The 24,705-nt window shown below is 55.9% G+C and overlaps 1 protein-coding gene across 5 annotated transcripts in view, besides 1 other annotated feature; it reads right to left on the bottom strand.

Moving 5' to 3' along the window:
* The window catches only part of UNC5A (unc-5 netrin receptor A), a 70,340-nt gene that overhangs the window by 23,517 nt on the left and 22,118 nt on the right, over nucleotides 1-24,705 (bottom strand). The gene's annotated exons all lie outside the window — the stretch shown is intronic.
* Nucleotides 11,825-12,656: an enhancer, noted in NCBI's record as "H3K4me1 hESC enhancer chr5:176271727-176272558 (GRCh37/hg19 assembly coordinates)". NCBI's record gives its function as "activates a minimal SCP1, AML or CMV promoter by ChIP-STARR-seq in naive H9 embryonic stem cells {active_cell/tissue: H9 hESC(naive)}" and the evidence as "EXISTENCE:reporter gene assay evidence [ECO:0000049][PMID:30033119]".

Raw genomic sequence — 24,705 nt, 5'->3', positions numbered from 1 at the left:
GACTGAACTGAGCCTGGGACGGATGCCACCTTCTTCCAAGACATGAAACGTATCCATTCAACAAATAATTATTGAGTGCCTGCTGTGTGCCAGGAACTGTTCCGGGCACCGGGATCCAGCGCAAGCAAGACAACACAGTCCCCGTCTCTGAAGCTTGCTTTCAAGTTGGGGAAACAAAGCAAAACAAAACCCAAGTGCAGCAGAGAAGGTAGAAGGGGCGGACTAAGTGCAGCAGAGAAGGTAGAAGGGGCAGACTTTCAGAAAGGGGCGGGTGAGAGGGCTCTCGAGGGAGCGGGGCTCAGGCAGGTGCCATCTGAGCAGCGCCCTGAATGCCAAGGCCAGGCTACAGAGTGTGCTTGGAAAAGGGAACAGGGGAGGCCCTAAGGCAGGAGGCAGCTGGGCTTGTTTGAGGACAGCAGGGAGGCCAGTGTGGCCTGGGCAGAGTGAGTGAGGGCGAGACGTGTTTGGTCAGACAGGAAGCAGGGGCTGGACCCCAGGGGCCTTTACAGTCGAGTCAGGAGTTGGGATTTCATTGCCAGGGCCACAGGAAGCCTTGGGGGTCATGTGCAGGGGTGTGGTGTGCTCTCCCTGCGTGAGGAGTGGGAGGGGAGGGGTGGCACTGGGCAGAGGGGAGGTGGGGAGGCTGCTGTGGGCATCCAGTGGTGTGGACTGTGGTGGACCTGCTCCACCTGGTCCACCAGGGAAATGTCAGCAAAGTTGTCGCCTCCTCCTGGAGGCCTTTCTGGATCCACACTTTTTGTCACTCAAAGCACCTGCTCCATCCCCTGAGCCTCCATCTGGGTTAATGCCACTTCAGGACCAGGGTGAGTTTGTACGCCACTTCCCTTGTTAGACCATAAACTCCCTGGGGGCAGGAGCCCAGGTCTCACCAGGATGCTGATGGAGTGTTTGTTGCGTGACTGAATGACCACCGCTTTTTCCCTCTAGAATTTCAGATCTGCCTAGGGTGGCCCCTTCACTCCTGGTCTGTGGAGAGACCCAGAGAGAGGGCAGAGCAGCCCACAGGCGGAGTGGCGGGCAGGAGAAGCCCCTGGCTCCAGGCTGCCCCCAGCCACCCGCTGGCACATGCTGCTCTTGTAGGCTCAGCCCCTTTCCTCACCTGCAGTCTGGGAGATAAGACTCGCCCGGAACTCTGAGGCCCAAGGTGGGTGTGAAAGTGCTTTCAAATGTTTTATTTTTAAAAGCACCAGAAAATATGAGGTGTGATTAATCAAGCTATTAATGAACCCATATATACTGAGCAAGGCCTCCGTCCCTGGGGGCAGGGGAGGGGTAGGGACAGGGCGTCACTCGGCCTCACTCAGCTGGGAGAGGTGGGTGCTGCTTCCCCAGGGCGGCTGCCGCCATTCCTTCCATCCTCCCAGCGGCCTGGTGGCGGGCGCCGTCCGCCCTGCAGACCACACGGCGCGGTTGAGGAACACAGCGAGGGGCCAGGGTGGCAGCCCCTTCCTCTGCTTCCCTGAGAGCTGTTCTGGATGTGAAATGGGGTGGAGGAGGAGGCTGGGGCACAGCAGCCAGCATTGCACCCCTGAGCCCTGGATGCTGGTGCCCAGCAGGCCTTGGGGAGCCCCTGGGCAGCCTCCCCATGGAGGTTTGCCCCCAGTAGGTCCACCAGGGCCTGGGTTCCCCGCTCTACAGGTGCTCGGATGTCCGGGCATGGGGAGTGCCACAGGATGACGTGCCACTTGTGCCTCTGGCTGGCATTTGAGGCCCTGCTGGCCTCGCCTCTAGGGATCCCTCCACACCGGCGGCGTCTTCGCCACGTGCAATTCTCAGGGGTTCTGCGTGTTCTGTCCCAGTTTCTGCCTCCCTCTCACTTTCTGGCTGACAGTGCCTGATTTTCTTTAAAGAATGCCTTCCCCTCAACTCCTCCCACCATGCAGGCCACGTGGTCCAGGGGCTGACCCTATCTGTGGACCCAGAGGTGGGCACGCTCCCCCTCTCCCATCCCCACCAATGGTTCCCAGAAGGACTTGCAGGCCGCCCCGTCCAATAGACGGGATTCCAGCATCTTGGTCGGGTTTTTGGGAAGGGAGACCCTCTCCCTGTGCTGAGCTTGGAGCCGTGGGCATGGAGCCCTGGAGTTGCCGGGGGCCCTCACAGGGAAGGGCCAGTCCTGCAGGCATTGTAGGCCTTCGTAAGGCTGAGGGTAAAGGCAGGCTATTCACAGGTCTGAAGCAAGAGCTTGAAGAGTGGAGACAACCAGTGCAAGGGAGAGGCCAGCTCCTCCTGCCAGCATCAGAGGCCTGGGGTCCCATGGACCTGGAGGCACAGCTAGCTCTGGATTCCCAGAGCATGAGCCAGTACATTCCTTTTTTTGGCTGAAGCTAGTTGGAGTCAGGATCTTTCCATCTCATTGGTCCACCTGCCCATCTGCTGTCTGCCTGGGTGACCACTACTCATTCTTCAAGGTCTGCTCAAACACCCCCTCCTCCAGGAAGCCTGCCCTGACCCCAGTCTGAGCTCCCACAGTCCCTTACCGAAGTCACCCCAGTGCCTTGAATATCATATTGTCACCATTTATGCATGTGTCTTCCCATATAAATTGTCAGGGCCTTGAGGGCAGGGACCACCCATCCCCACAGCCTGGTCAGGACCTGACATACAGCCAGAGAGTTTTTGTGGAATGAATGTGGAACATCATTCCCAGCAATGGGACAAGAGCCCAGGAACGAAGGGCTAGAAGTGGAGGAGGGAAACTCAAATCTGGCTGGGAGCCAGCTCTGCTTACCTTCCAATCAACCAATGAACCCCTCAGTTCAATGGGAAGGGAACCAGGTTCTTCAAATGCCAGTGCTGGACCCTGGGGAAGCAGAGGGGTCAGGGAGCCAGGGGGCACAGCGGCAGGGGGCAGGGGGAGCAGGAGCCCAGTGTGGCTCAGCCGGGCTTGCAGACACGCAGGGGAGTGGGGCTGAGCACTCCCTGCCACCTGCATCCCTGCGGCCTGAGATGGCGGCATGAGTTATTACTTTTTAAACATACACAGTTCTGTGAAGAGGGAGCTTCACTAGGGGGCTCTGATAAGCAGGGACACGTTCCGCACTTGCTGTTAGAGAGACAGAGAGAGACAGAGACAGGGACAGAGACAGCACCTGTGGTGAGGAGGGCAAGGTGGGGAGTGGCAGGTTCCATGACCTGGGTTTCAATCTCTACCGGAGACTACAGATCTGGGTGGCACAGTAAGAGCCATGAGAGTCCAGGTGGCAACTCAGGTATGAACCTGCCTGGAGGTAACAACGGGGTGCCATGCAGCCAGCAGCAAGCTGGGGTGCACGCCTCTGAATTCTTTCAAAGCCAAAACATAAAAAACCTCTGTACAGCCTGCCAGCTGCTTCCCTGGCCTTATTTGACCCCACTGCAGCCCCTTGTGCGAACCGCCTATTTCTAGAGCCTCATTGTTCTCATTTGTGAAACGGGCAAATAGCGGATGAGGTTTTTCGGGAGTGCAGTCCACCCCAGGACTTGCTTCTCTTCTTCCCCTTCCCGTCCCCTTGGTCCATCCCTCTGTCCATCCTCTGTCGCCCTAGCAGTCACCCCCAATAGCACAGGACTCCCTGGACGGCAGGGACAGGTCTGAGCCCAGAGTCCCAGGGCCCATGCCCAGTGTGTGGTGAATGCACGAAGGTGGGGAGAGGGCAGTGTCTCCTGTCTAGGAGCGTGCCGGATGTGGAGGTGACTGGATGGGGGTGACAGTCCCTCTCAGTGCTCCTTGGAAGGGAGGGCTGCTCCCCCGACCTACGCTCACATACAGGCAAGCACGGCACTCTGGTTTCCATAGTAACGTGTGCATGAAGGTGTCACTGAAGCAGCAGCCACCTCCCCGAGATCGGAGGAAAGTCACCCTCTTCCCCAGTGGGCTCCAGGGGCCTGGTCACAAGGACGGACACAGGAGTCACGAGGAGGACATGCAGACAGGCTGAACCACAAAGAACAAAGGGGCAGGGCGGGGGCGGCACCGCTCCCATCTCAGAGGATGACTACTCTGGGCAGGGGCACCGCTGGTCCCTTGCCCGCCAGCTCCTGCAGACCAGGCCTGTCCTCCGCCCCGGCCACTGCTCACAGGCTCCTTCTTCCTGCCTCTGGTTGTACAGACAAGGAACGTGAGGCTCAGGCCTTTCCTAAGGTGGTACAACCCACCAAGGACTTTAGCCAAATGGCCGGGGCCAGGAGTGGGGCAGGGCTCCTGTATCTGTTCTCAAATGCTCTGCACTCACCCCACTGCAGGGCCTTTGCACTTGTCGTGCCCGCACACGCTGCCTCCGATCTTCCCACAGCTGCCTGCTCTAACCCGTCCCATCTCTGCTCCCGCGGAGTCACTGTCACCGAGGACCTGGCCTGTGTGAAGGAGCTCTTCCTCTCCCTCCCCTTTCCCAGTCTGTTTTCCTCCTCACGCCTGCCACCACCTGAGGTCATCTTGTTTGTGTACTTGGTTACTCTTCCGTAAAACATGTCACAACAGCAGGACCACATCTGTCTTGCCACCGGTCCCAGCACCAGGCACAGGGCCTAGCACTGGGCAGGAGCTGAGCCAAGATGTCGCAAACGCAGAGTGAACTGGCTTGGGCCTTCCCACACTTAGTGTGACACTGTTGCCATCGCTAAGTACCTGAACCCACCGCAAAGGGAACTCAGAAACTCCCGGGGGGAGTGCTGTGATGGGGGGACGGGCTCCTATGGCCCCAACCAAGGGCCCCTTCCTGCTGAGGGGCCTCGCCTCAGGCCAGAGAAATAGTTAATAAAGCTGAGGTCTAAATAAGCATTTGATTAACAAATGATAAAATAGCTATTGTGTCCCTGAATTAAGCTGTAATTGTGGCTGATAATTGGCTGGTTAGAACTTAATAAGCTGCAATTAAATAGAATGGAATCCAGGGTAATTATGTGGTCACACGGCCCAGGGAAAACTGGGGAAGGAAGGCGCTTTCCTGCCTTGGGATCCTTGGCCGGCGCCTGTGCTTTGGTAGCTGTAGTGTGTGTGTGTGTGTGCTTCTGTGTGTGGGGTGTGTATGTGTTTCTGTGTGTGTTTCTGTGTGTGATATGTGTGTGTTTCTGTGTGGTGTATGTAGTGTTTCTGTGTGGTGTATGTGTGTTTCTGTGTGTGTGGTGTGTGTGAGTGTGTGTGAGCCTCCCTCACCTCTCACCTGGCAGAGGCAGGTGGCCGGCCCAGCTGCCTCACAAGCAGTAGGGGCGGTAGGCAGGCTCTGAGCCCTGGCAAGGCCTGTGGCAGCCCCGGCTGAGAGAGACATAAAGAATTCCTGGCACAGCTCCCCAAAAGGCGAGAGGCCAAGAGAGGGTAGCCGGCAGGGCGCTGGGAACACGACAGAGGCAGGCAGGTGGGTAGGGTCCTTCTGTCTTCCTAATGAGGAAATGAGTTCAGAGACGGGATGACTAGCTCAAGGACACACAGCGACCATGGCAGAGCCGGGGCAGATCACCCGACTGCCCACGGATGGAGGTAACTCTACTTAGAGTAGCTCTGGGGGCACCCTCCCCATTTCCATCCGGGTTCTTCCCCAGGCACACGCACCATAAGGCCGAGTAAGGACAGTGCACCTGTTCCACAGTTGCCCCTCAAGACAGGCCAGCTGGAAAGTCAGGAGCTGCCCCAACTAGGAGTGCCACTCTGCAGCCCCTCCTGACAGTACATTCTTCCCCTGCCTCCTGCCCCCATGCTCCCCTCCCCTCTCCGGGGGCCACCCGAGGGGGGTGCACAGAGCTCCCTCAGAGGCTGCAGCCCGCCATGGCCAGCCCCGCCCCCAGCCCAGGTGTGGCCCCGGCGCGGGGATGATGAACAGCGTGGCCTACACCATTTATGGCCCCGTCAGCATTTTTACAATGTTGCTGGCAATTAATTTAATTAAAGACCCTGTCCCACATATGGCGGCATTTCATATCTCACTGGTTTAATGTGTGCCCCGCCAGAGCTGGGGCCGGGGTGGTCCAGGAGTGGCAGCAGCTCAGGTTGTGCAAGGTGGGGACCAGAGCCCAGAGGCACTTGGGAGGTTACACAGTCGCCTGCCCTTGGCTGGTGGGAGACACTGCCCACAACCACAGCCGTCACGGCACCCACACAGTCACAGCAACGACAGCCATGGTGAACTTGACAGGATGTTATTTAACCCTCACAACAATTCTAAGAGGCAAGGAACTAATTTGAATTACCAATGAAGAAACTGAGGCATGGAGAGGCACAGTAAGTCGAGAGCGATGGGTTCCTGCCCAGGCAGGCTGGCTACAGTGCCCCGGGCTCTCAACCAGGAGCATGCATCTGGCAACATGTCCTGGCACCGTGCTAGGCACCGGCCAACACAGCCCAAGAGGGACCCACGTCCATGCCCCCATGGGGTGGCCCAGGGACCCCAGCCCCACTGGGAAGTCCTGGGAGCACTGGGAAGTCCTGGGAGCACTGGAAAGTCCTGGGAGCACTGGGAAGTCCTGGGAGCACAGCCTCCAGAATCATGCCTGCTGCAGCCCGGTCCATTAGCATTTGTGGGCACATACACCACTGCCCACACTAGGATGGTGACTGAGGCCACAGGCCACCAGCCAATCTTTGATTCCCATTCTCAGCAGATGAGCCCGCTTGGACCCCTCCTCATACAATGGCCCACAGGAAAACCCAGTAACCTAGGGACAAACCCAGCTCCCACTCATGGGTCCCACCAGCCCAGGGCGACAGCAGAGGCCAGCACATGCAGCCACTCCTTGAAGCTGCAAACGGCTTCCCGGGCTCGGCTCTCCTGAGGCCCCGCTTCTGTGGCCCCCATCAGCTCCTGCCCCGGGGTCCCTAGCCAGGCTCCCCGCCCACCCTCGCTGCCTGCGCCATCCCGACTCTCCTTCTGCCTCTTGCAGTCAGCAGGGCCCCCACCTCCCAGGAAGCCTCCCTCCTTTCCTCCCTCGTGGCCACCTAACTCATCCAGCCTCCACCCCCGGCCCCACCACCCAAAGTGTGCCTTCCCTTGGCTACCTCCTAGCTCAGTGCCGTCCTCAACCTCGCTATTTCTAGAAAGAGAATCCGATCTCACACTTCAAACCCCTGCAATGGTTCCCATACAACTAACACAGCAGTCCCATCCCTGGTCACCAACCCATACCCTGCAGTCAGCTCAGCCAGGTGCATGTATTAAAGTTAGGGCTCACACCCCGACTTCCTCCTAAACCTGCAGGGCACCCCACCTACTACCAATGCACTCAGCCCTGTTCATTCAAAATTAAAGATGTTGCCTCCTCTGGGCTGGTGTGGCAGGGACTGGGGGACGTGGGGCTGCATGGCTTGCTCCTCGGCCTCCCATGATCCTGCTGACGCAGGGCTGGCTGTGCAGGCACCTGCCTCCGCTGTCAGCCTGTGCACCCTCCAGTGCACACAGCAGGTGGGAGCCAACTCTTCTCAGCAGTGTCCAGCTCAGGGGCTGGCAAGTCGGGGGCCAGTGATGGTGGCAGAGTTGAAATGTCTCCTCAACTTGCCACAAGCTCCAAGAGTGGGCAGTAGGGTGTCATCTCTGTCCCTGCTGGCAACTGGCCCAGGGTATGTACTTGCTGGGGGCTGGGGCACAGCCCTCAGTTGGGCATCAGGAGGTTGAGTCCCCAGCCCCCACTCTGCCTCCACCTGGCCACGTGGCCTTGGGCAAGCCACTTCCCTCTCTGGACCTCAGGAGATGTAGGACTGAGTGAGAGGTGGCAAGTTCAGTGCCTTCAGGGGCTGGGTGGGGCTGGGAAAAGTGGACAGTGACAGTGTCCATCCAAGGGGGCAGGCCAGATGAGAGGTGCACCATTTTTTTAATTTTTTGAGACGCAGTTGCCCAGGCTGGAGAGCAATGGCGTGATCTTGGCTCACTGCAACCTCCACTTCCCTGGTTGAAGGGATTTTCCTGCCTCAGCCTCCCAAGTAGCTGGGATTATGGGTGCATGCCACAACACCCAGGTAATTTTTGTATTTTTAGTAGAGACGGGGTTTCACCATGTTGGCCAGGCTGGTCTTGAACTCCTGACCTCAGGTGATCCACCTGCCTTGGCCTCCCAAAGTGCTGGGATTACAGGCGTGAGCCACTGCGCCCAGCCTGCACTGATTTTTTTTTCCCCAAGGGAAGCTGGAAATCTATTTTTATGTGAAACCTCCCATTTAAAAATATTGACAACTAATTTAAACACTTTAAACACTCCGTGGGCCAAACAAGTCGGCAGGGCAAAGCCAGACTGGGCAGTGTCCAAGGCCTCTTCCGACTTTACCAGTCAGGGTCACAGCAAGGCAAGGGAACCCCCGCTGCCGCCACACTCCAGCCCTGTCCCTGCTGTGCCCTCCCAGTCTCTGCCCCGCTCTTCCTGCCCTTGCCAGCACCCCCTCATTCCTGGGAACCCTCCTCATCAGAGCCCCCAAAAGAAGGCCCCTGGGCCTGGACAGAGGCGGAGAGGTCGGCTGTCCATTGCCCCAGGTACCTGGGCGGGTAGCAGGATGTACCTGTCAGCACCAGGTGTCCTCTCAGCTGAGGCCTGAGGGCACTGTCCCTTCCAGAGGCCGAGAGGGGAGAAGCTGCAATCCCGAGACGCGCAGGGCCCAGGCCGCGGCTGCCCATCTTGTGTGCCCGTGGTCTGAGCCTCAGCTCCTGCCCCTGGGTGAGGCAGCTGAAGCCTCCTGCAACCAGCGGCACAGGCGAGTCCAGGTGGGGGACTCCAGAGAGGGGACCCCTGAGACACCAGCCTTCCTATTCCAAATTTGGGCGGGAAGGAGCCTGGGCCCTGCTGCCACCTTCCATCTGGGAATAGGGTGTCTGGCCGCTCCCATCACACCCCTGATGAGACAGGAATGAGCCCTCACCCCGTTTTAATTACCCACTGTCCAAATAATTACCAGCTTGTTTACTTCACTTAATGACAGCCATACTTTTTTCTCCTGGTATTGATTTCATGTTTTCCTCATTTGTTCATTATCTTTCCTGCCCCTTTAATGGGCTCTAGGGTCTTGGAGGAACATGGAGGAAAGAGAGGGGTGGCCTCAGTGTCACTATGCAGCCTCAGATGAGCCGCTGCCCTGTCTGGGCCCTGAGTCCCAGGGCCTCAGATCCCTGCACACCCTCTTGTGCTTTGGGGTAGCAGGGGAGAGAGAAGCTGGGGTACCCCCTCCCCAAGGGTCCCTAAAGGATGTCACACCAGGCTGAGGGGCGGAGGGATCTGGGTGCGGGGGGCGGTGGTGCTAACGTGGAAATGAGGCGGGGAGGGGTGCTCTAGGAAACCAGCCTGGAGGAGGCCGCAGCGTGGGGGCTGCTGGTCAGCTGGTCAGTAGGGGCCTGGAGGGGCTGCTGGATGCCTCCTCTTCCTCTTGCCCCCCCAGGTCTGGTGTGGGAAGGCAGCAGGAGCCTCCGCCCTCAAGAAGCCCAGCCCTTCCCTGGGCCTGACCTCCATCCTGGGCCTCCGCCTCACCTGCCTGCTGTTACCATGGAAACGCAGGCGCTGCTTCCATGTCATCTGGGCTGTGGAAGGGCAGGCCCATTTCTCTGGTTTTGGCGGGGGAGGGTAAAGAGGAAGGGGGACACGGGGGGAGGGGAGGGCCAGGGGCCTCTTTGGGTGAAGATTTAGGGGCTCTTGAAGGGGTCATTGGCTCTTAATAAATCACTAATAATTGCATGAATATTTAAATCTTAATAAAAATATACTGTGGGCCCCCCCGAGTCTCTCTGTGTGGGTATTTATGGCTATCGGGCTGGAATATGTAAAAGTTGGGATCGGTCTGATTGAACTGCTGTTATCGCTGCAGCTAAACGGGTAATTGGGAGTGAGAGAGGCTACCAGTGGATATAAATTATATACAGCAAACCAAGGGCATTAACTGAGGGTTTATTATCAATTATCTCTGCGCTTGTTCCCCTTAAAACGAACTTTAAGTATATTAATGAGAAAATTTACAGGTCTTAATGAATTGAGGAAAGCCAGAGGATGCTGAGGGCCCCCCCGCCTCGGCAGCCTGTTCCCAGGAGGCGTCCCCATAGAAGGGAGGCCCTGGAGGGAGGGCGGGGTCAGCCAGCCGGACCACATGCGTGTGCACAACGCCAAGCCCGGCTCTCCCATCAGTCCCAGAGGCCAGCCCTGTCTCTCTCCCAAATGCCCATCCCAGAGTCACGCGCTGGATGGGAACGGGGCATTTTCATCCAAGCATCCTTTCATCAGCGAAGACCACCAGGGCCTGGCTCCAGCCGTCGGGCATGGAGAATCAGCCGGCGCCCGACTTCAACGAACGGGGGTGAGGCAGACCTTCATCTGCTCCCAGGCGGGAGCGGGGCACCCATCGGAGTGGCACAAATGGAATGAGAGGGGGATGGGAGGGCGGCAAGGGGCTGTGCTGCTCTCTCCTAGGCTTGACGGGGGCGCTCCCTGTGGAAGCTCTGGGAGGGCAGAGCATGTGCGCGGCTCTGCGTCCATCCTGCTCCCAAGCACGTCCGCCCCTGCTGAGATGCGCTCCAGCCTCTCAGAGCAGCCCACAGGCCGACTGGCTTCAAGGTCGGCATGACCTCCTTCTGGGCCAATTCACCACCCAGCAGCCCCAGCTCCCTCCGGGCCTCGGCGCCAGGACTGTGGCTGCTCTCCCTGCTGTCCTCAGCCTCTCCCACCACCGGCTGTGGACCAGGTCCTGGGCAGCAGCTTAGATTCACCAAGCAGGTCGAAACCAGGCCTGGCCCCTCTCTAGAGCCCGCCCACTTGTGGGAGGCAGATACTGGTGAGATCATCCAAGTGGTAAGTCCAAGGTTACCGCCCAAAGTCAGAGTTCAGTCAGACAAGGGCTGGTGGCATGAGCACATAACTGGGGGGCCCGATCTGGGGCATCCAGGAGGGCTTCCTGGAGGAGATGTCACCAAGCTGTATAAGATGCCTCAATAGCCCAGGGGTCTCCAAGGATGCTCACCTGTCCCCCATCATGGACAAGAAAACCATTCATTAAACTCTTTGCTGTCTTGTCCCTGCTGGTCTGGGTCCCTTTTCTCTTTCCCCCTCCCTACTCAGCTCCCCCCACCCACCTTAATCCCATTCCTGGCTCCACCTCCTACAACCTGGCTTCCACCTCCGCCTAGCCATTTGCCAAAAGACCCCTCTGTCTCTGGTTCCAATGCTCCTTTTGGCTCAGCCTCCAGGGCTCCTCCCTCCTCTGTGCTCTGTTCTGCTCTCCCATCTCTCCTGGAGAGTGCCAGGCTCCAGTGAGGACCTCAGGGCAGAAAGTGCCCCCATCCTCATCAGGACCTCCAGGCTCGCCACTGCAGAACATTTCGCCTCAGCCATCCTATGTGGCTACCCCAGATGACCAGCTCCCTGTGCAAACAGCATGGCCACCAACCTGGCCAGAAACCTGCTGAATGTGGGCCTTCCACCTCCTTTTCTCCTGTCACTTCAGATGCCACAGGCCACTGTCCCTTTCACTCACCATGCAGCACCCAGCCCTTTGTTGGCTCTCCCGGTGCTCTGCTCAGTCCTGCTTCAGGGGCTTTGCATCTACTGTTCCCTCTGCCCAGAATGCTGTTCCCTCTGATGCCATAGCACACTCCTCATCGCCTGAATCTCAGCTCATGGCACCTCCCTGAGGAGGCCCTCTCTGTCTCCCCATCTAAATAGTGCCCTGTTGCACTGTAGTGCCTAGTGACCCTGGTGGGTGCCCTTCTGGACTTGTCTCTTTGTTGTCCATCTGCCTGGAACTAGAGGGGAAGCTCCAGGAGCAGAGGGGCTGTCTGTTTCATCCACCTGGACCAGGGCCTGGCTCACCGCAGTACAGATTTCAGAATGGGGGAATGCAGACATTTCTGGAAGGCTTGCTCTGTGCCAGGCCCCAAGCCCTGGGCTGCAGAGGGTCTGTGGGGCACTCATCGTCCAGCAGGGGAAGCCAGCAAGCACAGGTGCAGTGCATAACGCCCTGCCTCAGGGCCTCGGGGAACGGGCAGGGGCCAAGAGGAGGTGGGTAGGGAAGGTCATTCCAGGCCGATGAACAGCATAAGCAAAGCATATGAGGCAGGACCTATCTGGTGGCAGCACGGGCTGGATTAGACAGGCTTTGGATCCGTGCCAGGACACTGAGCGTGGGGAAGCAGGGGCGGCAGAAGACTTGAGCAGGGACGAGGGGGTCAGAGAGCTCTGGAGCGAGGGCTCTGTCGTGGGGCTGGTGGAGGCTATCGTCACAGGAGGACAGGGAGCTGCCTGACCTGGAACAGGCTGCTGGAGAGGGGGAACGGCTATGAAAAACATCCCCGGGGCAGGGCATGGAGGGTGACTCTCCTGGCGGGGAGGGAGGCAGGGCGGGAGCAGAAGATGCCTCTGTCATTTCCTGCCTGGTTGCGTGAGTAGATGGCGGTGCAGCCAGGCAGAAATAACTGGAGAAACCTTGGCCTACTGCTCACTCTCAGGGGAGGGCAAGACCACCGCCCTCTGATAAGGTGGGGCTTTTCCGGCAAGCTGCGAGCCACCAACCCACCCTGCTGCAGACCCAAGTGTGGAACTGCTGCTGTCTGTCATGAGCACTGGGCAGGGAGTCTGTGGCTGGCACCGAGGACCGACTTCCACGATCCACTGCAAGCAGTGCTGGAGGGTGGAGAGGGGTCTCGGGGTGAGTGATTGGGCCATAGCCCTGCTGAGTCCTCTGTTCCAACTGGAACAATAGGAGGCTGTGAACTGTGGTCCACAGACCCCTGGGTGTGATGTAGGAGGTTTAAGGCAGCATTTAAAGACTAGGAAGTTGCACAGAAACAATGGTTTCCCACCTCCTGTTGAAGAATTGGAAGCCAGGGTCACACCAGCCCATGCTCCTCCGAGCCACGGTGGGCTGTGAATTTCGGTGTGGCACAGTGCGGCTAAGTCCCCATCAGACCTTCCCTCACCAACCTGCTGTATGCAGTGGGCGCCCACGGCCAGCTCATATCATCCCGTGTCCCTTCTCGCTCAGCTGGGACACCGTGGGTGGACATAAACTTCCCCTGGCCTCTCCTTCCCTGGCACAGGGAAGGCCCAGGAGAACAGAGTGAGGCTGGGCCCTGCACAGATCTGGGCCCACCTCCACCCTGGGACTCCAGCGGTGGGGCTTCCTCAGCTGTGCCACACCCACCAAGAGAACCCCGGTGGCCCACGGGATACCAGGACCAAGTGTTCTCTCCAGCTCTGTCCTGAGGATCAGGCAAGGCCTGGGGCCTCTGATCTGTCCCCTGAGACGCTACAATCAGCATGGACCTGAGTTTAGTCACAGCTTTTATTCAAAAAGCCCCGTTTGCTGAACTCTCTCCAGCCCTCCACTCGTTTCCATGTCTCAGGGCCCCTCCTCCTCGTCCTCCCCGTCCCCTGCCTCCTGTCTCTGTAAATAATCCTCTCCTCTGTGCCTATAATTAGCCCCAAGTAGAATAATTCATAACAAACTTTATTTCTTGTGGCATCTTTCTTGCTAACGTGTCGCTGAGCGCCTCACACGATCAGCGGGAGGAAAGCAGACTCCAGGGAGCAGCTGAGAGCCCTCCCCACGCGCCGCACGTCTGTCAGAACGCCAGGGGCCAGGGGCCAGGGGCCAGGGCTGGGCAAGACGGCCCATCACACACCACGGCCGGGCCCAGCCGCCGAGTGGGAGGAGAGGCGCCCTCCTTGGCCAGCCTGAGCAGGGGGGCTCCAGGGCGCAGCCCGGTGGGTCAGGGATGCAAACAAGCCACCCGTCCAGAGAATCTTCCGTGGATAATAATAATGGTCACACTAATAATAATAAGAGCAGCGAGCACTTCCATACTTACTACACCCCGGCTCTGCTTTTCAAAAATCTGGGTTTTTCTTAAAGCATAAAATAATGTTTATCCCCATTAAATCTACAGCCTGATGAATTTGGACAAATGTATCCACCACCAGCATCAAGACACAGAATAGCTTCACCCCCTAAAGTTCCCGCCAGCCCCTTTGCACCAATCCCCCCTCCCAACCCCCTTCTGCTTTCTGTCACTGGCGTTTTGCCATTTCTAGAATGTCACCGCAATGGGATCATGCAGAATGGAGTCCTTCGTGTCTGGCTTCTTTAGCGGTACACAGTACTTTAGAGTCCCTCTGAGTGGCCTGAACCCACGGCAGCGTCCTTCCCCTGCTGGGCAGTGCCCCACCGTGTGGACGCACCACAGCATCTGTCCCCTCACCTGGGCTGTTTCCACATTTTGATGATTTTCTTTTCTTTTTTTCTTTCTTTCTTTCTTTCTTTTTTTTTTTTTTGAGACAGAGTTTCACTCTTACCGCCCAGGCTGGAGTGCAATGACGCGATCTCGGCTCACTGCAACCACTGCCTCCTGGGTTCAAGTGATTCTCCTGCCTCAGCCTCCTGAGTAGCTGGGATTACAGGCACCCATCACCACACCTGGCTAATTTTTGTATTTTTAGTAGAGACAGGGTTTGCCATGTTGGCCAGGCTTGTCTCAAACTCCTGACCCCAGGTGATCCACCCACCTCGGCCTCCCAAAGTGTTGGGATTACAGGTGTGAGCCACAGTGCCTAGCCCTTTTTGTAAAAAAAAAATAAAAATTATTTTTCCATAAGTGATTGGGGAACAGGTGGTATTCGGTTACGTAAGTTCTTTAGAGGTGATCTGTGAGATTTTGGTGCACCCATCACCCGAGCAGTATACACTATACCCTATTTGTAGTCTTTTATCCCTCACCCCTTCCCACTCTTCCACACAAGTCCCCAAAGTCCATTGTATCATTCTTTTGCCTTTGCGTCCTCATAGCTTAGCTCCCACATGTCAGTGGGGACATACAATGTTTGGTTTTCCATTCCTGAGTTCCTTCACTTATAGTCTCCAGTCTCATCCAGGTCACTGCAAATGCTGTTAATTCATTCCTTTTTATGGCTGAGTAGTATTCCATCATATATATATATATATATCACAGTTTCTCCATTTGTTGATTGACGGGCATTTGAGTTGGTTCCACGACTGTGCAATTGTGAATTGTGCTGCTATAAACATGTGTGTGCAAGCATCTTTTCTGTATAATAACTTCTTTTCCTCTGGAAGAATCCCAGTAGTGGCATTCCTGGATTAAAGGGTAGCTCTTTAAGGAATCTCCACACTGTCTTCCATAGTGGCTGTACTAGTTTACATTCCCACCAGCAGTGTAGAAGTGTTCCCTGATCACCACATCCATGCCAACATCTACTGTTTTTTGATTTTGTTTTGTTTTGAGACGGAGTCTCGCTCTATCATCCAGGCTGGAGTGCAGTGGTGCGATCTCGGCTCACTGCAAACTCCGCCTCCCGGGTTCACGCCATTCTCCTGCCTCAGCCTCCCGAGTAGCTGGGACTACAGGCACCCGCCACCGCGCCCGGCTAATTTTTTGTATTTTTAGTAGAAACGGGGTTTCACCATGTTAGCCAGGATGGTCTCGATCTCCTGACCTCGTGATCCGCCCACCTCGGCCTCCCAAAGTGCTGGGATTACCGGCGTGAGCCACCGCACCCGGCCTTGATTTTTTGATTATGGCCATTCTTGCAGGAGTAAGGTGGTATCGCATTGTGGTTTTGACTTGCATTTCCCTGATCATTAGTGATGTCGAGCCTTTTTTCATGATTGTTGGCCATTTGTATACCTTCTTTTCAGAAGTGAGATTTTGATGATTTTCAGTAAATCTGCTAAGAGCTTTCACAGACAGGTCTTTGGTGGACATATATCTTTACTTCTCTTGGGAGTGGGACTTCTCTAGAGAGAGGGATTGCTGGGGCATATGGTAAGCACATGTTTAATTTGATAGGAACTTTTATCTTTGTGGTTTGTGCTATGTACATTTGTAGAGAACTTCTCATTTCATCCTCACAGCAACGTTACGAATTAGGTGCTACCAAGATTCTCATTTTACAGGTGACAAACTGAGGCTCAGAGACATTCAATCAATAACATGTCCACAGCCACACTGCTGCACATGGGACAGCCAGGCAGCCCGGTTCCACAGTCTGTGCCCCAAGTCCCCTGCTATGCTGCATCTCACAGCTCTTCTAGGCTCAGCCCTGGGTGCAGCTCTGGGGTGGTGGGCACAGCTCTGATCTGGAAGCTGGGAGCTGAGTCTGAGTCCCCGCTTCACCTCTGGCTGGCTCACTCTGGCACAGCTCTGTCTGCAAACGGCACCCACAATCACCTGTGTCACTGAGCAGCTCTGTGGCTCAAAGGAAATAAATTAGAACAGACATCTGGTGCCCCCTGCAACTTTAGCTCGTGATCATTACCATGTGGTCCTGACCCCCTGACCTTACAAGTTTAGCTGAAGAGATGAGAACAGTTTCTGACACTCCCGTTGCCTGCCACAGCTTTCAATGCATGACCAAGTCACGCTGCCTCCATTCAGCGCGGAGTGGTTCATCCCCCTTCTCCGGTGAAGGAGGTGGATGGTTTTCCAGTGGGGAAACCTTTGCCCAGACACCCAGAGTTTGGGGATCAAATGGAAGCTCCATCCAGGCCACCCCACTGCCAGCAGCTCTCTGTGCTGCTCAAGCGTTGTGGGGGGACCCATAACAAAGGCGGGGCAGGGTGGCACAGAAGCCCTTTCCAGGGCTGTCAGCGTGGGCTCATGGGGGCAGGTCTCCCTGTCGTCTGGTCCCGTTTGTCCCACTGCAGAATGAGATTTCTCTGAAGCTGGCCTGGACTTTGTAAGTCCTCTTGGTTGTGGAGTTAGAAGATGGGCACCAGGGACGCCTGGGCCAGGGGGGGAGAGGCCCCCTTTTGTCCTGCCCACTTGCTCCCTCTGGGAAGTGCATCTGCAGAGGGAGGGTCCCCGGCCCTCACATGAGCCCTCTGCCACTCTGAGCTCTGCTCCGGACCAATGGATCCTAGACAGGGTGAGGGTTCTCTCAAAGGCAGAAAGAGATGAAGAGATAGAGATGTGGTCACCCCCTTGCAGAGCCCAACGTGTTATTAAAACAGGAGCACAAAAGAGAAAAGTGCTGATGTGAGTGTTATCTCATTTAGGAAGCTGCGGGCTGGTGGGAATGAATAATGGCTCTGCCGCCCAGCCCCTCCCCCGACTCACAGCCCAGCCTGTCCCTGCACCCTCACAGCGGGCCCCCATGCCTCGGAGTTCCTTCCCTCCTCTCTCTGACACTCTGCTCCAGTCTCCTCTCCCTCAGGCCCAGCGGGTTCCTTACAAGCCCCTGCTCTCCCCAACCACGTCCTAGTCCCCACAACCTGGGCCAACGCCAGCAAGGCGTGAAGAAGGTTCACACTTTAATGAAGAGGCCAGGCGCGGTGGCTCACGCCTGTAATCCCAGCACTTTGGGAGGCCGAGGTGCGCTGACTGCTTGAGGTCAGGAGTTCAAGACTAGCCTGGCCAACATGGTGAAATTCCATCTCTACTAAAAATACAAAAATTAGCAGGGCGTGGTGGCGTGCGCACCTGTAGTCCCAGCTACTCAGGAGGCTGAGGCAGTAGACCACAAGCCTGGACCACAAGCAAGGCTGAGGCAGCAGAATTGCCTGAACCCAGGAGGTGGAGGCTGCAGTGAGCTGAGATCTTACCACTGCATTCCAGCCTGGGCGACAGAGTGAGACTCTGTCAAGAAAAAAAAAAAAAAAAAAAAAAAAAAGGAAGTGGCCGTGAAGCCACAGTGGGAAAGGAGTCCAGGTGCTGCTTGCTTCTGTCTTCGCTTGCGGTATCTGCTGTCCCAGGACCCCCAGGCCCTCCCCAGAGCGCCTCCACTCAGGCCAGATCACCCACTCCCTGCACATCCTCAGCCTTCCTGCCACGGGCCCTGCCAGGGCAGTTTCAGGGGCAAGGATCTTACCCACAAACCAGGGAAGTCCAACCCTTTACTAGGAGTGAGGGCAGGAGACAGCCTAGGCCATGTGACCTGGGCACCAGGGACAGCCTGAGACTGTCCAGACAGCGGCCCTCCTGGCCTGCCTGGGCTCAACGATGCTGATATCCCACCCCACGAAGCCAACGTGACAGCAGCCATCCATCACCAGGCTCCTGCACATGGGCCCTGGGAGGCATGTCCACTCTCCTCACTGCCTGCGGATCAGGGACCTTGCTGCCACAGAGCTCTAGGTTTCCTGGCTTTCAGTTCATCTTCTTCCGATGTGCTCATGGCTGAGTGGCCTTGGCCCCCCTACCTGCTCCCAGCTAATCCACTTATCCCCTTCAGTATCCCCTCAGGACAAAGAGCATGTGCTAGGTGCTGTGAGGGGTCAGAGAAGGTGGACATGATGGAAGTGACAGGAGTGGGGTAAGGGAGGCAGTCGCCTTTGAGAGGGGCCTGGAAGGTGGCACAGGGCATCAGTAGCTGGGATGATAGGAGAGGGCAGGTCAGGCAGAGACCTGCAGGTGCAAACGCACAGAGGCAGGAGAACACACTCCATGACTGGACACCTGCTGACTGCTTTCCCAGCTCCAGCTCCTCTTTTCCCAAAATAACAGCCCCATTTTCTTTGGAGATCCACTCTTGTTCCATAGTAAGCTATGTGGTTTGAGTGGAAATGACCCCTACCAGCTTCAGGGATGGACCCTGATTGGCTTAAACCAATGCTATCTCCTGCCCTGGCTCTGGTGATTGGTTTGAGATGGGCATGTGGGCCAGCCACTGAGGTCCCAGGAGACATTCCCCAGGGCTTTTCAAGAGAGGAGGCATCTTTCCCCTGGAAGGTGTGGGGTGAGGATGTGAGGGCTGTGCTGCTGCAGTCATCCCAGTACCAAGACAGGGAGAGTGTAGAGATGTTAGGGGATGCCCTGGGGAAGCCGAGGATATGGCCAACACCAGGGAAGACAGAGCAGAACAGCGAGCAGGGTAGCTCCAGAGTGCTGTTGTCTGAGCCAGCGCATCAGGCTTTGCCTGAAGTCAGCTGTACCTTTGGGATTTTCAGTTGCAAGTCAATAACATCCACTTAGTAAATGTGTTTAAGTCTGTGTGAGTCGAGTTTTCTTTCATACTGCAACCAAAAGATTGTTAACTGAGAATCCAGTTTGGCTGGAGTGAAGGAAACATGAGGAGAGGTAAGAAGACAAGACTGGGAAGACAGATCAGGAACATTTTACCATGGGACTTGAATGACAGGTTGGGGAACTACTATTTATTTCTATAGGCATTGGGGAACCATCACAGGCTTTTTAGCAGGGGAGTGGCTTCCTAAAATCCTAAAATACCATCTGAATTAGGCCTCACCAATCCCTACTTCCCACCTCTCCAGCTCCTTCCCCCCAGAGTTAAGCAGTAGAATCAGGTTTGCAAGAAATAATAAATTGTTCACACTTCATGACCTGCAGGGCCACTTTGCCTGGAACGAGTTCCGGGAATTTCAACGGAAGCCTATGGGGTGGGAGTCCCCACCACAAAGAATGGAGGCTCCAAAGGGCAAGTTTTTGACTATTCCGTTCAGTAGTGTACTCTTGCACAACAGTGACTGGATGTATATGTGCTCAATTAATTTCTGCGGATGGATAAATGAATTCTCTAGAGGTCTCTAGAGGTGGTGGTGGGGTTAGGAAGCAGAGTCCGGAGGTTAGGAAGCCGAGTCCGCAGAGGGACAGCCTCTGTGGAGCGCCTGGGGCTGTCCACGGTGCTGAAAGCGTGCCACGTCCAGGACCGCTATCTGTGGAGCGCCTGGGGCTGTCCACGGTGCTGAAAGTGTGCCATGTCCAGGACCGCTATCTGTGGTGCTAAAACAGAGTTCCCAGCTAGCTACACAGCCCATCCATGGCAGCTTGGAAAGGGCCCAAGGCATCTTAGGAACAGCGGCGGGAAAGCATACTCCATAACCTTGCCTCCCTTGCTAATCCCATTCCCTGAAGACCTTCTGCACGCATCAGATAACCTGGCACACACCCAAGCGTGCCTATTTCCTGATGGTGACCCTGTCCCTGGTGTGGATATCCATCTGGCCTCGGGTACCCAAGTTCTCCAGGGTGTGGGTCCCTGAAGGGCTCATACGTCAGCTCCTATTCAGCCGGCCTCTGCTAGGGACCCTGGGAGAAGCAGCCAGGCAGAGTAGGGCTCTGGGAAGTCAGCCGGAGAGAGAGGCTGCAAGCCAACAGCATTCACTGGAGGGCCTGGCAAGAGGCTCCTGTCCTCACCGGCTCATGGGCACTGCCAGGCAAGGTGCCTGTGCTAGAAGACAGTACACAGAGGGAGGGGTGGCTGCTCTGTGATGGCAGATGAGATGGCAGGGGCAAGCTGGAGACAGAAGTTGGCACTGTGAGAGTGAGGTATGGGAGTGGGGCTGGGGAACTCCACAGCATGGAGTTTAAAGGGGCTATGGGAGCAGCAATGGGGGTGAGGGACTGGGGAGGGAGGAAAGGCAATTTCACGGCACAGTGAGTCTGGTGAGAGGGAAGGCACCCTCGTCAGACAGGGACAAGTTGTTCCTAAATGCAGACTCACACATACACAGAGACGGGGTATCAGGTTGTTCCGTCTGGCCTGTGCGCTGGCTCTGGCAGGGACTTCCTCTGACATCAGAGAGGAAGATGCCTCCTAACGTTCTAATTTTGCCCAAGAACTAGTTTGGCTCTGCCATCCATGAACTTATCTAAACCTTTCTGGAAGCAATTTATATTTCCAGCCTGTATCACCTCTAGGGGAAATGATTTTCAAAGTTTATTCCCTGCTGAGTGCAGCAGGATTTCCTGTGATTGGTTTTAAACATACCTCTCCTGAGCTTTGCTGGGGGCTGGGGGAGCGGTTCGCTCTGTCAGGCTGGGGCATAGTGAAGGAGCCCAAGCTCCCTTCTCCGAGCCCTTTCTGATTTCCTAGATCTCTGCCACACTCCCTCTTGGCCTCTCTCTGATTGAGGCTGTCCCAGGTGGGCCAGTCTGATTTTCTATGGCAGCTCCCTTCTCATCGCAACTCTTTCCATAACCACTCACGGTGGCACTGAACTTTACAGGTGCCTACACACTGTCGTCTCTGTGAGATCTCAGCTGCTGTCGCTCCCCTGTGGAGCAGGCCCCCAGGGATCGCTACTTCCATTTCACAGATGTGCAAATTGAGGGAAATGAATTATGCAGATCATATAAGTCTGTAATACAATCCAGTTCTGCCCCATCTCGGGCTGGGCTCCCCTGAGGAGGCGTGACCACAAGCATGCTGGATGGTTGGGTACTGGCATCCCTCACTCACCTGTTGGGAGAAGAACATCTATGGCTTGCTGCAATCTCCCCTTCGCATCATGTCCAGCCTGCTGTTGCCCTCCTGGGCCCTGCCTTAGGAAAGCTGCCTTCCCCCAGACTTCGTCCATATCATTCTCCCCAGACTAAAGCCTGCTGGCCATTCTCTGTCCAGCTCACTGCCTTTCTAGATAAGATCTTCCTAAAGCTCATCCCTCACCAGTCTGGCATTTTACTACCACCCAGGAGAGTTTCGATTTAACTGCAAACTTGGTGATTTCACTATACACATCCTCTTCCAGATCTTTTATTTAAATGTTAAAAAAGATTAGCTCCAATTCTTGCCTGAGCTCACATCTTCCACTTCTCTATCCAGAAGACTGTTTATTCATCCAGGCCTTTTGTTTCATTTCTTTGTCAGCTCCTTATCAATGAGAAAACAGTTGCTTCAAATTCCAGATGAATCTGTTAAGACACTTAGACAGGAGACCTACACCCCAGAATACTTAGGATGTGCACATCATTTCAGGACACACACACACACACACACACACACACACACATCCTTTATCAAAGGCATCCATTTGCACAGATGCTGGTACCTCTACACTCATGCTCAGGTGCACAAGAGTTCACACCCACGCCCACACTTCTTCCTCACTGGCACACCTGCACGCTGGGGAGGGATTTGGAGCTACCCTTTGAAGGGCCCATTGGTTTCATGTGTTTGACAGGCGGGAAGGGGCCGGAGCCAGGCAGGAAAATGCCAGCACAGGGAGCGATGAGTCGGAGGCTCTGGAGCATCTGGAACTGTTGGGAAGGAATCAGGGAATTTCCTGAAATTTGGACAGGATGGTTACAGAATCCGGGATGGGGATTTCTCCCAGCCACAGGCAGGCCCCCTCTGGGAACCTTCCTGGGAGACACACACACTGGACTGGGCAAGCGGCCTCTGTTCAGACTTAGACAGAGGCAGGCCTGGCAGGTGGCCCTGAGCCCCCAGGGCCTGCTTTCCGAGCCTGCAGGAAGGTCACCTTCACCCATGGGCATATATCTCCTCAGTCACACCAGTGCCAATGTTCACCTCCAGGTGTACAAGCCAGCCCCTGGCCGGAGGCCCCATTCCCAGGCTGATGGGATGTGAGAACACATGGCACTTTAAGAAGCCACCCTGAGGCCACCTCTCTCCCTGGCCTCGCTGCCTGCAGAGTGCAGGGGTTGCCCACAGTGCCAGGAGTTTCTGAATGCTTTCATGGAGCTTGTGGCTGCACTCAGGCATGTGTCTCCCACAGCCACCTGGCACAGGATGGGCCCAGCCTGCCAGCTCCTCTGGCCCAGCTATGGGGATAAGAAGAGTGAGGCTGGTCCCTGCAGGAGCCGACAGTGCACACGTTGCTCCTCTAAGAACTGGGAGGGAAGGGAGAGGGACAGTGGCAGATTGAGTTGTAATCAGGGACACCATCTCCTAGCACCAGGAGACAGCTTCTCCCTGGGAGGTGGGGCAGGCTCAGACTCCTGCAGCGACCCAGGGAAAGGGAGAGAGAGAGGGAGAGGGAGAGGGAGAGGAGGGAGAGAGAGACAGAGAGACAGAGAGAGAGAGAGAGAGAGAGAGAGAGAGAGAGAGAGAAGACGGGACGTGGGAACCTGCAGAGAGTAGAGGGAGGTAGGAGGGCACTTGTGCCACTAGGTAAATATGTCTCTCGGCAAACAGAGCCCTGCTCCTTCCACATCTGTCCTGCTGCCTGGGAGTTCTGAAACCAGATCCCTCTTATTCTCTTTTTCGTCCTTTCCTGGCATTTTTCTTCCCCTTAGGGTCCTCACAGGAGAATGCTCCATAGAAAACTCTTTAAATGAATGGCCCCTCCTGGGCCCTGGGGAATAAATTAGAGTTCAGAAGTGATGGCCAAAATGGGGGAAGTAATCCCGGGAAGACAGGGAGACAGATCGGTCCAGCTGGGCGGCTAATGCCAACCATGCATCTCGGTAGGGCTGGGGAACTGGGAGCCACTTCTCCTGTGCAGACAGGACAGGGACGGGCAGGGGGCCCTGTCTCAGCTCCTTTGTTCTCTTCCATACTCCCGGCAGTGTGTAATTATTTAATTTCTTCATTGGTTCACTGGTGCACTGCATCCCCTCCACTGGAGTATCAGCTCCTGGAGGTCACACACACAGCTCCGCGGTGCTCCACCTCCCCAGTGCCAGCTTAGAGCCCAGCACAGATGCGGCACTCCACAAACATTTACTGAAGACCTAAGTTGATGAATGAGAGAATAAGAGGCTGTGTGACTGGGCCGGGTGCGGTGGCTCACACCTGTAATCCCAGCACTTTGGGAGGCCGAGGCGGGCAGATCATGAAGTCAGGAGTTTGAGATCATCCTGGCTAACATGGTGAAACCCCGTCTCTACTAATACAAAAATGAGCTGGGCGTAGTGGTGGGCGCCTGTAGTCCCAGCTACTCGGGAGGCTGAGGCAGGAAAATGGCGCGAACCCAGGAGGTGGAGCTTGCAGTGAGCGGAGACCGCACCACTGCACTCCAGCCTGGCGACAGAGCAAGACTCCGTCTCAAAAAAAAAAAAAAGAAAGAAAAAAGATAAAAAAAGAGGCTGTGTGACTGAGCTAATGAGTGCAGCCACAAAGGGCAGAGACTCATGGGCTATGCTTGAACCTGTCAGGGAGAGGAAGCTGGGGTCCTGCAGGTGCCTAGGGAGGCCCCACCTGAGTCCCAGGCCATGGCCTAAAGATTGTGGGCTGGCGTGGACTGGATAAAGAACATGTGGTACATATATACCATGGAATACTAAACAGCCATAAAAAAGAATGAAATCATGTCCTTTGCTCCACATGGATGCAGCCGGAGGCCATTATCCTAAGTGAATTAATGCCGGAAGAGAAAACCATGTTCTCACTTAAGTGGGAGCTAAATATTGAGTACACATGGACACACAGAGGGAAACAACAGACACAGGGCTTACTTGAGGGTGGAGGGTGGGAGGAGGGTGAGGACGGAAAAACTACCCATCAGGCACTGTCCTCACTACCTAGGCGACTAAATCACTTGTATGCCAAACCCCAGCACACACAATGCACCCATGTAACAATCCTGCACACGCACCACCTTGAACCTAAAGTAAAAGTTGGAAGGAAAAAAAGATTCTGAGTTGGGTTCCTCTCAACTCCAACTTGGCCTCGGCCTGAGAGGGTCTTGCTGTTTCCTGACCTTGGCCAGCTACCTGCATCCTGGGTTTGAGAGTGGCTACCACACGTGCCAGTCCTGTGTGTGGCACTGGGGAGGGAATGGAGGATTTAAGAAGGCATGAGCCTCCTTTCGTTCCTCCTCTGCCCAAGGGCTGACCAAGCCCTGGCCATCCAGTTCTGTCCCTGCCTCCACCTCTGCCTGTCATGGCCTCGTCAGTCCTCATTTGGAGGACTCATCTGGAGATCATCTGGAGTCCTCATTTGGAGATCACTCGAGTACCAACGGCTCCCTCTTGCCCAACCAGCTTCAGCTTGCCACTGCCATCCTTCTAAAACTCAGATCTGAGTCCACTGCTTTCCTGATTGAAAATCTTCAGCAGCTCCCTACCATCCCTAGAATGGCTCAACACCCCTTGGTGT

The sequence above is a fragment of the Homo sapiens genome, chromosome 5 (genome assembly GCF_000001405.40).
Source record: "Homo sapiens chromosome 5, GRCh38.p14 Primary Assembly".
Lineage (NCBI taxonomy): Eukaryota > Metazoa > Chordata > Mammalia > Primates > Hominidae > Homo > Homo sapiens.
This window is presented reverse-complemented; position numbering and strand designations above follow the sequence as displayed.